The 19615-nt window shown below is 42.8% G+C and overlaps 1 long non-coding RNA gene across 1 annotated transcript in view; it reads right to left on the reverse strand.

Moving 5' to 3' along the window:
- The window catches only part of LOC101927040 (uncharacterized), a 102366-nt gene that overhangs the window by 42302 nt on the left and 40449 nt on the right, over positions 1–19615 (reverse strand). The window contains exon 3 of the long non-coding RNA NR_110954.1: positions 8796–8842. This is a non-coding gene — a long non-coding RNA (uncharacterized LOC101927040). The remainder of the gene's footprint in view (positions 1–8795; positions 8843–19615) is intronic.

Consider the following 19615-nt stretch of genomic DNA (forward strand, 5'->3'; position numbering starts at 1 on the left):
GGAGGCAGAGGTTGCAGTGAGCCAAGTTCGTGCCACTACACTCCAGTCTGGGTGACACAGCAAGACTCTGTCTCAAAACAAAACAAAACAAAACAAAACAAACCGCAAGAAGTCAAGAAACAAGAGATGGCTGGCAATGTTGCAGAGAAATGGGAACACTTTTACACTGTTGGTGAGAATGTAAATTAGTTCAGTCATTGTGGAAGACCGTGTGGTGATTCCTCAAAGATCTAGAACCAGAAATATCATTTGACCCAGCAATGCCATTACTGGGTACAGACCCAAAGGAATATAAATCATTCTATTACAAAGATACATGCACACATATGTTCATTGCAGCACTATTCACAATAGCAAAAACATGGAATCAACCCAAATGCCCATCAATGATAAGGTGGATAAAGAAAGTGTGGTACATATACACCATGGAATACTATGCAGCCATAAAAAGGAAAAAGATCATGTCCTTTGCAGAGACATGGATGAAGCTAGACACCATAATCCTCAGCAAACTAACACAGGAACGGTAAACCAAACACCACATGTTCTCACTTATAAGTGGGAGCTGAACAATGAGAACATATGGACACAAGGAGGGGAACAACACACATTGGGTCCTGGAAGGGAGAAGGGGAAGGGAGAGCATTAGGTAAAATAGCTAATGCATGCTGGGCTTAATACCTAGGTGATGGGTTGATAACTGCAGCAAACCACCATGGCCCTTGTTTACCTATGTAACAAACCTTCACATCCTGCTCATGTACCCTGGAACTTAAAATAAAAAAGGTTTAAAAGGCATTGTTTGATAAATGAAGTAGCTGACCAAACTGAGTAATGTATTTTTGGTCAAGAATAAAATGACAAGGCTGAGTGCAGTGGCTCACGCCTGTAATCCCAGCATTTTGGGAGGCCAACGTGGGAGGATCACTTGAGGCCAGGAGGTTGAGACCAGCCTGGGCAACATAGCAAGACCTACCTCTACATAAAAACTAAAAATTAGCCAAGCATGGTGGTGCACACCTGCGGTCCCATCTACTCAGGGGTCTGAGGTCAGAGAATCGCTTGAGCCCAGGAGGTTGAGGCAGCAGTGAGCCATGATCACGCCACTCCACTCAAGCCTGGGAGACAGAGCAAGACCCTGTCTCAAAAATAAATAAAATTACAATAAAATCATGAGACCACATTTTTGAGGAAACTCAACAGCTAGCTTGAGGACAAATACTGGAGGGGTTCTAGAAGACTTTTGAGCAATACAGTGTAAAATAGGAGTATGTTCTCCCCACGTGAGTACAGAAAGCAAGAACAGTCATTGAATGAATCAACTGATATATTTATTTAAAATCTAGTCTTCTTCCTTCAGACAGATACCTGACATGGGTTGCACTAACAACTTTATGTATTATGCTGGAGAACCCCATGTCTGCAGCTCACAAACATAATATACAAATGCACTAACATGAGACTGAAAATAAGTGCCGTACGTCAAAAACAAATGGAAACCTGGCCAGGCACGGTGGCGCAAGTCTGTCTGTAATCCCAGCTCTTGGGAGTCCAAGGTGGGCAGGCAGATCACTTGATGCCAGGAGTTCGAGACCAGCCTGACTAACCTGGTGAAACCCCATCTCTACTAAAAATACAAAAATTATCCGGGCATCATGGCGGGTGCCTGTGATCCTGAGCACAGCTGCTCAGGAGAGTGAGGCAGGAGAATCGCTATAGCCTGAGAGGTGGAGGTTGCAGTGAGCAGAGATCAGGACACTGCACTCCAGCCTGAGTGACAGAGTGAGACTCTTTCTCAAAAAAAAGGAAACCTAATCTCAATTAAATAAATTTTCTTCACAGAAAAATACACATGGCCAAGGAAAACAAAATTAAAACATCATCTTTGTTTTTTTGTTTGTTTGTTTTTGTTTCTGTTTTTGTTTTTGAGATGGAGTTTCACTCTTGTTGCCAGGCTGGAGTGCAGTGGCGCGATCTCAGCTCACTGCAAACTCCGCCTCCCGGGTTCAAGCCATTCTCCTGCCTCAGCCTCCCGAGTAGCTGGGATTACAGGCATGTGCCACCACACCTGCCTAATTTTGTATTTTTAGCAGAGATGGGGTTTCTCCATGTTGGTCAGGGTGGTCTCGAACTCCCAACCTCAGGTGATCTGCCCGCCTTGGCCTCCCAAAGTGCTGGGATTACAGGCGTGAGCCACTGCGCCCAGCAAAACATCATCTTTGACATTGGGTTAGAGGATAAATCAAATTTTCTTTATTGTATTCAATTTATTTTCAATCAAGATGTTATTTTTTACTAAGATGCTTAATATGTAAGGGAGGTAATAAATGTCAGTACGTAATAAATCTGAGATAAATTTAGCAAAAAAAATTTCTCTTCTAAAAAGAAGCTGCTCCTTACTATAGTCTAGAGAGGGTCCCAGTGAAGGAGTCAGCAATTCTGACAAATCCAGGATTCTGGCCTCACCCTGTCATTAAGCAACTATGGGTTTCCAGGCAGGTGCCACAATCAACCCAGCCCCTGAAAGTTCCTGTCCAGCTCTCAATGCATGTAACAGTTTCTTATCTCTCACCTGTGCTGCAGAATTCCCTTTCTAAGCACTGCAATGAGCACCTTTAGTCCCTGTATTAGTTAATGTTCATACTGGCAGGAAGAAACACCCAAGACTTGGTAATTTATAAAGAAAAAGAGATTTAATGGACTCACAGTTCCACATGGCTGGGGAGGTCTCACAGTCTCATAGCTGAAGGCAAAAAAGGAGCAAAGGCACTTCTTACATGGCAGCAGACAAGAGAGCATGTGCAGGAGAACTGCCCTTTATAAAACCATCAGCTCTCATGAGACTTATTCACTGTCTCAAGAACAGCATGGGAAAAACTGCCCCCCTGATTCAATTACCTCCCACTGGGTCCCTCCCATGACATGTGGTGATTATGGGAACTATGATTCAAGATGAGATTTGGGTGGGGACACAGCCAAACCGTATCAGTCCTAATTTCATTATGGAACTGAAATATGTCATTTATTTCTACATAAAGAAATACCTTAAAAGTTATTTACTTTAGTTATCCTTCACCCATTAAATCATGAGAAAAGATAATAAATGATAAACGTGCTTCATTGTTATAAAATAAATTCTCTTCCTAGCTAGTTTGTTTTATTTGCTCAATTCAAAATTTGAACCATATAATCAGTATATATTTTTGGTATTTATATGAAATTAGTACTTCATAAATATGAATCATGCTATTAACTGTGTATATTGTGATATTCTCTAATAACTGTCATTTGCATACTACGCAACTCTTATCTTCAATAGTCAAAGGACTGAAGAAAATTTTGGAGACTGCACTGCACATTTCTGTCTACAGACTATACGATATTACAGCTTGATCTTTAAACACTTGTAAGAAACTGTCTACAGTAAAACATTTCCACCTCCATCAAGCTAACAAACTCCAGGAGAAACTCATTTTAAAAACCCCATGGAGTAGAAAGAAGATTATGAGGTTGTTTTACTTCAAACAGAATAAAGACATTTTTAAGAAGTTTTCAAGTTTGGACATCTTTCCCCCATCAGATTACTTCTTTTTTCTGTAAAAATAGGGGGAAACAATGATAAGTTTTTATTTAAATATGCAAAAGCGAAAAGATAATGTAATAAGGGTTATAACTGCTATTTATAAAACATTTGAGATAATAAGTGATGCGGATCTCTTAGGAAAGCAAAGAAATAGTGCATCATTTTGCTATGTCTCTTTGGTTGGTGTTTTTAATACTTGGGTTTTAAGGGGGTTGGCTCTGACAGTGGCTGTTCAATGTGTAAAGCTCCTTAACACCAGTCCCATAACAGATCACACTTCCTGGAAGGGGTAAAGCTATTTAAGAACATGCGTCTTGCAGAGGGATTCATGGAACCTGTCTTCTGAAATGATATCCAGCTTTAACCATGGTAGTTTCTTCTGGAGGCATAAAACCATGATTTTCTTCTTTCTCAGTAATTCATGCTAAACCAAGAAGCCATTTGGGAATAGAAAAAGTCAAGAGTGTTTATGGTTTTGTTCAGATGAGGAATCAACAATCAGGAAAATGAAGAGAGTTAACAGCAAACTGATTTTTAATACTTCTCTGGTGGACTTCCCTCGTACAGTTTGATTTCCCACTATTTCCCCCAAGTAAATGCTTGTGCTCTGGGCATGCTGATCTGTCCACAGCAGTTCACAAAGTGTGAGTTTCCAGACCAGGTGCACCAGCATCACTAGGGAGCTTGCCAGAATGCAACTCATCACACCTCATACCAGACCTACTAAATCAGAAAGTCTGCTGTGGAGCTCAGGGACATGTATGTTATTAACGAGTTCTCTGGATGAGTCTGATGCACGCTGAAGCTGGAGAACCACTAGTCTGCAGCATGTGGCCTGCCTTATTCTCAATTCATTCACTTTCTCCTTTGTTTTAATGACTTTCCTTCAGCCCTAAGCATCTAACTAAAGATCACCCCCCTCAAATCTGGTCTTGCTATTTCACCAAACTTTGACAACTCCCTACTTGAAATCATATTTATCATCACCTACATACCACAATTAAATGTTACCTAGGTCTGCAGTGATTTAAGGTCATACATGTCTTACATTGTTCTCTAAGTTATTTCTATCCTGTGTTTGTTTTATCACTTCAATTCAAATGAAGGCCTCTTGAAGGCAGGACCTATGTCTTATAGATAGTCCCCAACTTACAGTGGTTCAACTTAAGATTTTTCAACTTTACAATGGTACAAAAGGAATATACATTCAGTAGAAAGCAGTGTGATTCTCTTTCTCGATGCTGGGCAGTAAGCCACAGCTGCCAGGCAGCCACAGGATCACGAGGGTAAACAACTGACACTCTACGGTGCACTGCATTGCCAGATGATTTTGCCCAAGTATGGGCTAATGGAAGTGTTCTGAACATGTTTAAGGTAGGCTAGGCTAAGCTATAATACTCAGTAGAGTAGGTGTATTAAATGCATTCTTTTTGTTTTTGTTTTTTTGTTTTTTGGGTTTTTTTGAGACGGAGTCTTTCTCTGTAGCCCAGGCTGGAGTCAGTGGCGCGATCTCGGCTCACTGCAACCTCCACCTCCCAGGTTCAAGCGATTCTCCTGCCTCAGCCTCCTGAGTAGCTGGGATTACAAGCATGTGCCACCACACCCAGCTAATTTTTGTACTTTTAGCAGAGACGGGGTTTCACCATATTGGCCAGGCTGGTCTTGAACTCCTGACCTCAGGTGATCTGCCCCCCTCAGCCTCCCAAAGTGCTGGGATTACAGGCATGAACCACTGTGCCCGTCGCCTAAATGCATTTTCATCTTACAATATTTTCATCTTACAATATTTTCATCTTACAATAGACTTATCAGGACGTAACTTCGTTGTAAATCGAGAGGCATCTATACATTATTTTACTTCCCACAGCGTCTATCAGTGCTTAAGCTACAGTAAGTCCTATGAAAATGCCCACATTTTTGTTGCTTTTGTTCCCTCTCCTAAATGCTTCTTTCTTCTTTCTGCCAACTTCTATATATCCAAATTCCACCTATTTTTCAAGTTTCAGCTCAAATGGCAATTTCTCTGATCAGGCTTATTCTCTATAAAGAAATATTTTTCTTGCTTGGAAAAACCATAGAATTTAATGATATCTTTTCGTTTTTCTGCTTCATACTACAGTCATTTGTACATGTATTATCTCTCTCATCACTGAAAATGGAAATAATTGTTCTAACCCACTGCTTTTTTTTTTTAAAGGAAGAAAATAATTTTAGAATGCCTCAGGGTATGGGAGTATAATTAGTTTATTTTCCCTAATATTTTTGCCTCGGATTTTTTGGAATTCGTCTATTTACACAGGAAGTAACTCTCACGTTTCAGAGAGATAGTCTTTTTCCTAGGTACACTGAGGGTCTGGAACAGGATCTGTGTGCTGGAGACAATTGTTACAATTTGTGTGGTCTAATGAGTGGTCTCAGAAGATTAGACATAAAGTAACGGGAATCTGCAGGAAATCGAGCCACAAGGAAACCAGGGCAACTTTAAGTCACATTGGTAAAAAAGAAAAGAGCCTCACCCCAGGGTAAGGACCAGTAGCAGAAGGCTTAATTGTTACCATGTCATGGTGTGAACCCACTGGTGCAGCTGCCTGGGCTAATGGGAACCTGATGCAGCCAGCTTCCCGAAACACACCAGTTCCGACTTCAAACACTGCAGCCCAGTCTTTAGGAGGGAGCAGACTGGATTCACAGTCACAGGTTTATTTCTTCAACAAAGGAGATACCTCCCCGCCTCCATCCCTATCAGCTACAACAGGCTGCACCAGGACCCAAGCAGGACTCTGAAATGACCCCTCCTGTTTTGCCCACTTAATACTTAATTCTAACCTCCTCCCTCGGTATTCTGCATAAAAGTCTTCTGGACTTAGCAACCTCTAAGAGCCCCTGGCTTTCTGAGCTTGCAGACTCAGGAGTGAGAGAAAACTCACAGGTCATTTGGCAGCATATCCCACTTGGCCGTCTGGGAATGCATCCCAGGTCTACATATGTGTGTCATGAAATCAGGTATTGAGAATTCATCACGGATGAGCATGGACAATGCCAGGACGGAGGGTCCATGGGTGAGCCAAAACCTTCCAGGTCTGGCTCTCCTGTTCCTACCTGCATCTTTCACTACTATTTTACCACCAGCTCTTGACAAGAAAATGCCAAAGTAGCAGGCAATGAATCCCTCAGCTTATGTGCCTGGAAAACGGTTTCCAGTCCCTGGTATTTGAGATCAGCTCAAGGCCTGGGGCAGGCCAGCATCGCCCCAGGGCTCCTCTCTGAAAAGGAGGGGTGTTCTGGAACTTAGAGCTTCCTGAGCTCTTTACTCCTACTCCAATCCCCAGAGACAGGCTCGGTGTTTTTCCTCTGCTGAGATTTCTCAAGTTCCCTTTTTTACATCGCTTATCGACATGTAAACTCCACACTAGGGTGAAAAGGTAGGTGTTTAAGATAGACGGCAACAGCTGGGATCAACTGCCTCTTAAAAGGCTGTCTTGATGAAATGCATCTCTTTATATTTGGGGCATTTGTAAGCAGAATGGGAATGAAACTTGAGAAGATTATGTGATAAGCAGACCATATCCTGTCAAGAGCGGGAGTGTTTCTCTAATAACACAAAGATGAGCTTCTAGATAGCCCACCAGATAGCCAGCCGTCTTCCGCCCAGCGTCTCCCATCATAAATCTTCATTCTTACTCAGGTTTTCTGTAGATTTTTAAGGCTAGAGCTCATTTCCCTGGAGAGACAGGCCTAAGGAAAGATCTGGAATTCCTCCAGTTAAAAAAAAAAACACCATTCTGCTTAATCAACATTTACTCCATCAGAATCAATATCCTGCAGAGGGTGGTTTACATTGTTCTCAAGTCTGTTTGCAGGTGGCTGAGCAAAGATACAGTTCCTGACCTGGATTTTCTGAAAAGGAAAAGAAAATATTCCTCAGAATAGAAAAAAAAAAAAAAAAAACCCAACCGAACTCCACTTTTTACACATAAGCTTCCTTTTGTGAGATATTCTGCCTAGGGTTGCACTCCTAACAAATTTCAGTAAGCTGATCTAGTTCAAGAACATCTTTTTTCCTAGAATTACCTGTTATTTTTCACTAAAAGGGCTCAATCATTTACCAAGCATTTGTTAAGTTATTGGTCCTCTTGGAATCTTAATTTCTCTATCCCTGATAATAGTACCTGACTTGTAGTTTCTAAATGAAATCGTATGTGTAAAATTACCTAGCCTGTGTTGGACATTCAAGAATAAGTTTCTCACTTTTCTTGATTTATCCATTGAGTGGATAAGAGGAGAATGGGTTTTGGAACTTGAACTAGGTTCAACTTCTTGCTCCTTTACTTTTCACAGGCTGCCTCTAAGGCAAAACCCTTAGCCTAGTATGTTCCCTGAACTCCAGTCTCCTCATCTGTAAAAGTAGGATAGTAATAGTTTTCTTCATTTCAGAGAGGGCTAAAGAGAACCAAATGAACAAATATAAACTTTGTAGGAGGCATTTGAAATTGTAAAGCACATAAAACTTGTTAGTTATAATCATTAACACTCTTCACAATGGAATAAAATGCACCAAATACTATTATACTTAACCACAAATATACTTAAGAAATCAAATACCATTATACTTAACCACAAATATACTTAAGAAATTAAAAATCAATTGTTTCTTAATTTATAGAAACCAATTATGATGCATCTTGTTCTAGTTTTGCTAGATTCCTTAAGATTTTGACTCTTTTGGAGGAAGGCTTTTGTAGAGGGGCTGCACCACATGAAATGTTCAAAACACATACTCTTTGAGCTACAAGGAAGAACCCCAGAAAATAAAGGTCTCTTGAAGTCAAATATATGGATACTCAAATAATTTAAGAAACTCCGAGTAGACTATTTGTGTTCATGGTGCTCATCTTTCCCTGTTTGAGCTCCCCTTGCTTCCTGAGCAGGATCACGCGCCCTGGGACCCAGTGTAGGTGGAACAGCTGGGGATCCTCCCAGCCTCCCGATGTCACAGCTTATCAGTGTTGACGGACAGAGCACACAAGGCCTTTCCTGCCTTGCTGACCAAACAAAAGACACACTTCTCTGTTTCCACCATGCTCTTTTCTTCTTGAAAAGGAAAGAGAAACTTTGTTTATGACACTGAAATATATAGGAAGCAATCGATGCATTAATGTCACTGGGCAAATTCCATCACTGGATGTCAGTGTGACCTAATTCCATTACCTACCTAGTTCTTGGGAACTCCAAAGTCCAAGGCAGGCAACTGTTGATCATCTGCAGAAGAAACGCCATAGATCTTATGAAAATCATAGACACTCAAGACCCTCGTTTTTGTTTATTTTAACTGGAAGGGTAGGAAGCTGGAACCATCTGTGAATTAGAGAATGTACATATTAGATAAAGCAACTACACATGCTACAAATGGAACACACGCATACACACACACACACACCACAATCCATCGGTTGTAAATTTGAAAGTAATAAGTTAATCTTATGTAAATTTTGGTTTGGGGTTGACCATTTCACAGATTTCCAAATATATATATGTGACAAGGTTTTAGTGGAATCTCGTTTTTCTTAGTTTACATCTCAAAAGTAAAGCTAAGCATAACCCTGAAGAAGTCTGAATTCACTTCCATATAATTAATAGATAAAAATCAGTGAATTCATTTGTTGTTTCTTCCATAAATATTCAGTGAGTGCTTACTGTGTACCAGGCACTGGGCTTGGTACTGAATTTACATTGATGAATAAAACCAATACGGTTCCTACCCTCTATGTTGGCTTTCTGTATTAAACAGTGTGTGCAGCTTCATTCCCTGTGGTCTAAGGAAGGAGAGAATGGCACGAGAAAACTGTCTCCACAGTCATGGTAACCTCTAACCTGAGCCAATGGGTAGGAAACAGTCGCCTTTGTCAGTTGGCAAGGCAAACCTGAGGCCATCAGGGCATTCTGGCATAGCCACGAATAGCACACGCTCTGGAGTCAATCTGTCTGGGTTGAATCCGGACTTCTCCACTCTCTAGCTGTGTGCTCTTGGGCAAAATACTTGATCTCCCTGTGAATCTGAAAAACAGTAGTAATATTTATATACACCTCATAAGGCTGTTGCCATGATTAACTAAGTGAAAACACATAAATCCATTAGAACAGTGCCTGGAAAATAGCAGGTGTTCAATAAATGTTAGCAATTGTTATTCTTATCTGACCTTATCTCCCATCATAGCTCTGCACACAGCCTGGAGTCCAAGCAGGGTTACTTCCCTTCTTGGCCTCTGCCACAATTTCCCCTGCCTACTTCTCCTCTCTACCCCGACACCCATGCTTTCACACATGGTGTGAGAGCCTGGACAGCTTTACCATTTCTTTTCTTCCTAGCAAACTTTTCTTGTATTCTTAAAGGCTCAGCTCAGGCTGGGTGCAGTGGCTAACGCCTGTAATCCCAACACTTTAGGAAGCCGAGGTGGGTGGATCATTTGAGGTCAGGAGTTCAAGACCAGGCTGGCCAACATGGTGAACCCTGTCTCTACCAAAAATACAAAAATTAGCTGGGCGGTAGTGGCGCATGACTGTAATCCCAATTATTCAGGAGGCTGAGGAGGCAGAGGTTGGGGTGAGCCGAGATGGCACCACTATACCCCAGTCTGGGCAACAGAGTGAGAATCTGTCTCAAAAAAAAAAAAAAAAAAAAGAGTTTAAAGGCTCAGCTCAAGCTCCCTTCCTCTAGGAAAATCTCCTTGTCCCTGACTGCCAACAGCCAGGTGTCCCTCCACTCTGCTCTTCCAAAAGCTGTGCACAGCTCTAACCCTCGATTGCACACTGGACTCTAAGGGCTTACTTGTGTGTTTCCTCTCACCGGATGGGGGCTGCTATAAGGCCATAGGAGGGGCTCCATCAATGTTTGTTGAATGAATGGATGAATGAGTCAGTGGAAGGAAGGAAAGAAGGGAGGGAGTGTCCCTGGAACAATCTAATTGGGATACTGAATTGTAATGTGTGGAGCAGGCAGTGAAGAACTCTGAGCCCAGTGATTATTTCCTCTTCCCAAGGCTACCGCTCTCTGCTATTGGCCTAAAGACATAAGGGCAGACAGAGATTCAGCTAGAAACATGGAGCAGTTAACTTATTTATGACTTTACAACCCATGAGATCTGACCACACCAGAGGCCTGCAAGCACCCTTAAGATAGTATCGGCAGGCCAGGCACAGTGGCTTACATCTGTAATCTCAACACTTAGGGAGGCTGAGGCTGCAGTGAGCTATGACTGTGCCACTACACTCCAGTCTAGGCAATAAAGTAAGACCCTGTCTCAAGAAAAAAAAAAAAAAAGATAGCATACGTACCAAACCTCTCTTTAAGCATGTGAATACCTGCATTTCTCAAGAGGTATGTTTATCCATAGTTTTAAGAATATCGAGTCTAGAAAGTCCATAGCGTCCCTTGGTAGTATTTGCTTCAGGATACTACTCAGCAGAAATGACCTTTCTTAAGCTGCAAATCAAGTCCATGATTACTGTCCTCAGAATTGGTTCATTCTTTCAATCTCTGGTTCACCAAAAGCATTACATTTTGATGAACTATTTGCATTTCCAGCCAAAAAAATGAATGTTAACTTCCCAATACCAAAGACCCCAGGCACATTAACGTTTACCAAACACACATGCACTGAGGGGGCTGGGGTAGGAGGGGGATGTTATGTTTGGATATCTTTTGGATCACAGTGCTGAAAAAAATCACAGACAGACTCATTCATTGAGATCTCTGAAAGGGGTAGGTGTAATGTTCATCGGGTAAAACTTTGAACTAGTAAGAGCTTTTAATTTCCCCAATCTGAATAGGAACAATTAAACATTAGAAAAACAAACTATAGTTTTTCAAGTTTCAAAAACAATATCTCCATATCCTTGTCTTATTTTCGCTCTCATCTTTCTTAGTCTTCTGCATAAGACCTACTTTGGGTGTATATTGAGCAATCCCCATATCTCCATGTCTGGTTGCCAGGGTGAGCCACTTCCATTTTAAGAAATAAGGCTTTCTGATAGCTGTCCTCAAAATAGGTTCATATTTTTATGCACTAATTTATTAATTATTTATCAGCCTAAGACAAATATTCCATGCACAAAGGGGATAAAATAGGGAGCAAAATCTGCCCTCTGCCCTGGGAAAGTTTTGGCTAGTTTGTGAGACTACTTGAGGGGGATGATTTGCATGTGTGTACCTAACTTTAACTGACAAGTGTATTTTGAAAATATTCCACAAGAATTGAATATTTTATAAAATTTAATTTTTTACCAAATGACATAGTCATATCCCCTGACATACTATCTGGATACAATAGGCACTTGGTCAAACTTCATTCCTTTTTTTTTCTACCTTTGAAAATCAAATTGTGTTTAAGATGCATTTAGGGTCTTGATATTTCTGGTAAAGCATCAAATCCCACTGCACTGAGGAGCTGACTAATGGAGAATTTAAGAGCATAGTCTTTGGAGGTAGACTGATCTGGCTTTCAGTGCTGGTTCTCTCTGGCACTTGGTAGAAAAGTAATCCTCAGGAAGGAGCTTAAGCTCTCTAAACCTTAAGTTCCTCATCTGAAAAATGGGGGAAATAGTACCCATTTCACTGTGTTGTCAGAAGAATTGCTCGAGATAAAGTATATAAATCTCTGCTCATGTGGGTCCTGCATCAGTGGTAGCTACGCTACTTTTTTTCTTTTCTTTTCCTTTTTTTTTTTGAGACAAGGTCTCACTCTGTCATCTAGACTAGAGTGCAGTGGCACGATCAGAGCTCACTGCAGCTTCAGCCTCCTTAGGCTCAAGTGATCCTCCCATCTTAGCCTCCTGAGTAGCTGGGACTATAGGTGCACACCACCATGCCTGGCTAATTTTTGTTTTGTTTTGTTTTTTGTAGAGACAGGGTTTTACCATGTTGCCCAGGCTGGTCTTGAACTCCTGGCCTCAAGCAATCAGCCACCTCCATCTCCCATGGTGCTGGGATTACAGGTGTGAGCCACCGTGCCCAGCCAGTAGCTACTATTTATTTAATTTTTTTTTTTTTTTTTTTGTGTGTGTGTGTGTGATAGTGTCTCGATCTGTCACCCAGGCTGGAGTGCAGTGACGCAATCTCAGCTCACTGCAAGCTCCGCCTCCCGGATTCACGCCATTATCCTGCCTCAGCCTCCCGAGTAGCTGGGACTACAGGCGCCCGCCACCACGCCCGGCTAATTTTTTTTGTATTTTTAGTAGCGTCGGGGTTTCACCGTGTTAGCCAGGATGGTCTTGATCTCCTGACCTCGTGATCTGCCCACCTTGGCCTCCCAAAGTGCTGGGATTACAGGTGTAAGCCACCACGCCGACCACCAGTAGCTACTATTTAATGTAAATAATCACCACACCCAACTTCCCAGTTCATCTGCTTTGGGAAATCAACTCATCAACACTGGATTTTCTTTTCTTTTCTTTTTTTGAGATGGAGTTTCCGCTCTTGTTGCCCAGGCTAGAATGCAATGGCGTAATCTTGGCTCACTGCAACCTCTGTCTCCTGGGTTGAAGCAATTCTCATGCCTCAGCCTCCCAAGTAGCTGGGATTACAGGTGTGTGCCACCACACCCAGCAAATTTTGTATTTTTAGTAGAGACAGGGTTTCACCATGTTAGCCAGGCTGGTCTTGAACTCCTGACCTTGTGATCCACCTGCCTTGGCCTCCCAAAGTGCTGGGATTACAGGCATGAGCCACCGTGCCTGGTCTGATTTTTGTATTTTTTTGTGGAGACAGGATTTTGCCATGTTGCCCAGGCTGGTCTTGAACTCCTGAGCTCAAGCAATCTGCCTGCTTTGGCCTCCTAAAGTGCTGGGATTACAGACATGAGCCACCGCGCCGGCCTAACACTGGATTTGTTTAAGGCAAAACATGCCTGTAATTTGCATCCAAACATCAACTCCAGAAAGGGAAACTATGGGATTCTGTTATCTTTGTTATTGTTTAAGATGTATTATGACAACCACCTTTCCCCCAAGAACCTTCCCTACCTGGCAGAAAGGGGTTTGTACCCACAGGCCAGTGTACATTCTTCCCAATGTGATGGATGCAAATCTTGCTCTATATCTACCTACCTTTCTTACCCAAGAGGTTTATCAAGCCTGAACCCTGTAAACTCTTTAAGGTTCTCATTTATGCTCTTTCTTTTCATTAATACGTCCTCCCAGAGCACCACTTTGGGACTACAAATTCTGGGACAGAGGTATTAACAGAATAGATCCATCCAAGGGAGAGCCATACGCTAGCCGCAGCATAGCCATGTCAAGCAGCGACCCTGTGGGCATACCCTGCCTGCTCGTGTGTGTCCTCTCCCAGTTACTGTTTACGTTGAGTTACATGAGTCAAGCAGCCAGGCTCCATGTGGCAAAGTATACAGTAGACAGCGCATTGTATTTTGCAGAGCCTGTGATTGAGGGAAACCAATGCTCCCTCTTAAAATTACCTTTGCAAAATATTTAATATAAAACAGTACTTCTTAAGTCTGGAGGAGTCTTGGAAACTTGAAAATCAGCAGATCTGTCCAACAGAATACACAGGGCTCTCTTCCTGGGGCTGGAGGAAATATACACAATTTTTACATATAAATTTTTCATCCCATTTCAGAGGACTCAGACTCCCTGCAGGTTTTTTTTTTTTTTTTTTTTTTTGAGACCAAGTTTCACTCTTGTTGCCCAGGCTGGAGTGCAGTGGTGCGATCTTGGCTCACTGCAACCTCCACCTCCTGGGTTCAAGCGATTCTCCTGCCTCAGCCTTCCAGAGTAGCTGGGATTACAGGCATGTGCCACCATGCCCGGGTACTTTTGTATTTTTAGTAGAGATAGGGTTTCTCCATGTTGGTCAGGCTGGTCTCGAACTCCTGACCTCAGATGATCCGCCTGCCTCGTCCTCCTGAAGTGCTGGGATTACAGGGATGAGCCACCGCGCCCGGCCCTCCCTGCAGTTTTTCCACACACTCTTTTGGGTATCCACCTAATCTAGGGGAATCTAAAACAGCACCTAAATTCTCATCTCATCCAGATTCTAGTGGTCTCTTTTTTTCAGTCATGAGAAATCCAATGAAGTGGTGAGCTCCTAAGAATTCAAACATTGAGTCAGATCCCACAGTGTGAACTCTGTCTCTGCTCTGGGTGTCTCTGTCTGTTACGGGGGGGTGATCATTCATCCTACCAGGAATATCCTGGCAGGTTTCCTCAGGCCCAGGCATTGTACAAAACTCCAGAAGCTGCTCAGTCTGAGAAGCGGAGCGCTATGCAGAAAGCCCCCGGCATCGTCACAACATGGGACCTTTAGTGGGCAGTTGTTTGAGGTCATTTTCTCATCAGTAGCAGCAGGCTCAAAATGGATGTGCAATGCAAACCAGGAGACTAGGGAGCACCGAGCAGCCTCAGGGGTTGTTTTCTGCCTGGTTCAAGAGAAACTGCCGTAGAAATTTTTGCCGCCAGCCTGTTGTTGAGTGACAGGAAGAGAAAAAAGGATCATTTGAAGGCTCCCTGATTCAAATGGCGTATACAGAATGCCAGGCCCTGGCTGCCCTGGAGAAAGCCACTCTGGTGCCAGCTTAGGGAACAAATGTGTTCCCACTGTCTCCTGGAAAGGCTTTCCCCACCCCTGCTGAGGGGGTGGATTTCAAAGCAGCTGACTTCTTGCCCTTTTTAATAGGACTGCAAGTGTTCCCATTTTAATTCTAAAACTTTCTCCCAATTTTCCACTCCTCCAAGGCCTCCCAAGAAAAGCTGGTATTCTGGGTCACTGAAATGGCGTCAGGTTATTAAGCAGAGAAAGGGGATTAGAGGAACAGTTCCTAGCAGCAGCAGCGAACACAGTTACGGTATTGAGAGCTTGCGTTGCATGTTAATAAAATGCTATAAAACATCAAACCCTAAAGGTAGCAGTGAAAGCCACGTAAGTCCTTTCCGGAGTTTGCCTTCTGCAGCTGTGGATCTAAAAGTTCCCTGCCTTTCCTGTACTTTCATAATCACGCTTTTCCTCCTTTAGAGAGACACGCAGCCTCACTCCCAAACCATGGTGTGTTTTAAATGCTGACCACCCCATCTTTCCCTGGCACCATGGAGCGTTTCAGTCTAAAACCCTAGGGTCTGCGAATTCTGGCCAGTGCGCTGGGGAGAGGTAGTAGAGTAATTAAGTTAGCTGTTAGCTGCTGTGAGCGGACTTCGGTATTTCATCGCAGCTGCCTGCCTCTGTCTCCCCAGCCGCCCTCCCACATCTTCCTATGAGACCGGCTGTGTGTGTGAAGGAGGTGCTGTTTCCCACAGCTCTGATCTAATTCAGCTGAAATTCAATCTCCGTGTGACCAACCTCAGCCAGCGCTCTCCCACCCACCGCCGGCCTCCCCTCTGCAGGCTGTGTGTGCTGCCCATTTACACCATCAATCCCACAGCCTCCCCTCCACCAGCCCCTGGGTATAGACTTACGGTGTCAGCGGGCCAGCCTTGGGGGCTCGCCTGCTGCCCGGACGCTCACCCCTCATCCCCAGTACTCCGAGGTGAGACACTCTATACCTGCCACTCGGTGGCCTGAATGGGGCCTGTGAGTCATCGCAGGAGAAAGGGCAGTGGGGCCAGCTGAGGCTGAGAACCCAAAACAGATGTCAGAGACATCAGGCCACGTTTTCCATGGATCTTCAGTGCCCAGAAAGATTTATGACCTCTTTTAACCCCCTTTTAACGTGGGTTGAACTGGGCTTGTCTTATAGGGGGGAAACAAGTCTGGCAGTCATTCAGAAAGTCACCAGAGCGACAGGGCCTGCCCTGGGTCTGTGGACCCTTGCTTCCTTTCTTTGTCATCCCTCTCTTAAGCTCCATCCCTTAGCCTCTGTGTTTGGTGGGGACATTCCATCACAGACTCATCAGAGCTCTCCATCCCTTGACAGCCCAAAGCTGCTTGTGGCTTTGACCCTAAATGGTATTCAATTTGGGTTTGCATCTTCATACTGAACAAGGAAATAATAAGTATCTTTTAGAAGAGCAGAGATTGCAGAAGGCCAGCACTGGCCAGTGATGCAGGGCCCTGGCTTTTTTTTTTTTTTTTTTTTTTCTGGTCTAATTGTTGCCTAATCATGTTATCCTGGATCAGGCGCACTTTCTTTTGACTAAGAAAGCTTTGAACTTTGCTTTGCACTTCCTGCAAGAGGAGGATTTCTACCTCGGGGCAGAGAGGCACAGGAAGGCAGAGGTTTGCGGGTACCTTTTACAAGCCCTATGAAGCAAAAGGGAAGGGGTTTACAAAGGCATCATAATTAGAAATGATGTGTCAGGGCAGGCAGGCACCACCAGAATGTGACCCTGCCGGTCTCCTCCCAGGCTGCTGCAGGAACACGGGAAATTCAGCGTGGCTTCAGCACGGGCACTCAAGCCATTTTCCAATGCAAAGGATCCCAGTCTTCCAACCTTCCATTAGTTTTACTGCACAGATTGATAAGTGACAGGCAGGGTCACACCTTCATGCTTATTTTTTTTTAAGAGAATTATAATTTGCATGAAGAGATTCCTTTTTGCTAACAATCCACCCGCTCGCTTATCTTGATCTACAGATAAAAACAGGACAGTGGAGCTGGAAAGTGTTTCCCGCACCTCCCTCAGACTCCCAGACACTCAATTTGCATTCAGTCTCAGAGAGAGTTTAGAGCCTGCTGTGTCTCCTTTTTTTGGACAGTGGGTAGTTATGACCGGAATTAAAAGGAGAAAAGTCTCCAGCACTTAAAAAAATCAACCAACTTTTTTTATGAACTTCTGCTAACAGTTAGGCTGTGTCACGGAGGGAGGTGTCCTGGGAGGGAACCTCACCCCTCCCTAGAGAAGAGGAAGCTTCCCGCAGCCAACCTCAGAAATAATCGTCTCCCTGAGTCCTGAGAAAACTGCCCCAAATGTTAACACATCAATCTTAAGGAAACGAGCCTGGCTTTTACCGACTTAATTTCATATAATTATTTCAGAGTTTAAGTCTTTACAAGAAAGAGGGAGTGGAGGGAAAGGATCAGAAAATTGAAGGGGATGAACAGAAGAGGAATGAGATTCCTTTGTTTTGAAGATTCCCATTTCTCTCCCAGTGTGCAGGGCATCTTTATCTGTGCTTTCGTCTCTCAGGAGCAAATGCACAGCACACTCAACAGCATGTGGAGAAGCTTGGAAGGCGCTGATTTCGGCTCAAGTCCGTTTTTAAAGGACACTTTAATAAAGCATCCTCTTGTGTCTTGGATCTTAGAACACCAAATGTACAGTGAAATGAGGTCAGAAGACCTGTGTGCCAGTCCTGACTCCTGACCACTAAGTTATGATGTAGTTGGCACAAGTCATTAAGCTTCGGGGACTTTATTACATCTCTAAAATGGAGGTAATGAGACCTCCCCTGCCCCCCTCTGGGGGGTTATATATAGGAAAATAGGAAAACACTTTGAAAAGTTAAAAATGCTGCTATACAGTCAAAAGTTATTATTCTTACAATAATAAAGTTCATTATGAGTATTCTGTAAGTACATTTTTAAATTTAATTTTTTTACATAGAAACAGGTTCTCACTATGTTGCCCAAGCTGGTCTCAACCTCCTGAGCTCAAGCGATCCTCCTGCCTTGGCCTCCCAAATAGCTGGGATTACAGGCATGATCCATGATGCCCAGCCTGTAAGCAGTTTATTATCAGTATTCACATAAGAGCCAGCAGCATAGGATTTGTTAAGTAAGGAAAAAGCTCGGACACCATCTAGTCCAATCAGTTTTAAATGCATCCATTTAAAATGTAAATGACAAAGCCTCATCCTCCAGAAATATTGATTCCATAGGTATAGATTAGCCCAGAAATCTGGATTTTAGATCACCACCTTGGGATATTCAGAGATAGAATCCAACAACCTGACTTTGAGCAACGTTGTTTTGCAAAACGAGGACATTTCTCATTCTCCTACTCCCTGGCCATATCCTTCCTCCCACTGGGGCTGGGTGTGAGAATAGAGCACATTACTTTCACATCTCTTCATTAATATTTCAGAATCTACAATGTGAAGGACTGGGAAGAAACAAAGCAGAATCGGGGATTATGTTGATGGGTTTGGTTTCCCTTTAATGATGAGAAAAAATGCATGTCTGCTCTGAGCAGATGATAAATTGATCCAGAAAATGTTGCACAAGTGTTCTTTGCTAAGCTTCAGGGTCAAAGTCAACAATATAAAAGAAAATATACCTCCGTTTAGTTGAAAAGGACTTACGTTCAAGGCATTGCACAACAGGTCTGGTGTGGGTTACACTCTGTCAAATGGCCCTGTTCATTTATTCAGCTTTCCACAGATCTTTGCCAAAGAGGACAATGAGAGAAAGAGACAGATTTAGCTGTTGTGGTTGCAGTTTGTTTTTGCACCTGGTGGGTTTTTTTTTTAAATGACAATAGTTTGAGAATATCACGACAACATTTTTAAAGATAATGAAATCATTTGTATGTGAAGTTGGGATAATGAAATGACAAGCCTCTCATAAAAGGAATCTCCTTTTAGTAACCATTGCCTATACTTGCATTAAGTGAAAAAAAAAAAAAAAATGAACCGAGGAAGAACTTTCTAGAAAGATAGATAGCTCCTAGAAATCTGGGAGCTTTTCATCATTATTAAACTCATTTGTCTTGCAACTTTCTATTCCTAAAATGAGCAAAAAATTTAACAAAAGCAGTCTCTGGAAAACCAAAACAGAGAACTCATAACATATTCCATTTACTCATAGGAAACTCTCAGGTACCTCCTCAAACCTCTCTACACACAGTTCTAATGCACATCTGCATGCACACACGTGTAAGTGTGTGTCTATATTGGTCTTCTATGCTCACAGTAAACACTGAACATCAGAAAATTAGGGTAGAAGAATTTCTGGAAATAGGTGCATTGATAACCAGAGTGATTGGTCAATGGACTGATGAAAAGCAGGGAGACGAGAGTATATTTAAAAGTTTTCAAAATAACTTCAGAATCTGAAAATTTGGGACCCTTTATGTGCCCTATTGCATTGC

This window comes from Homo sapiens, chromosome 8, assembly GCF_000001405.40.
Source record: "Homo sapiens chromosome 8, GRCh38.p14 Primary Assembly".
Classification (NCBI taxonomy): Eukaryota; Metazoa; Chordata; class Mammalia; order Primates; family Hominidae; genus Homo; species Homo sapiens.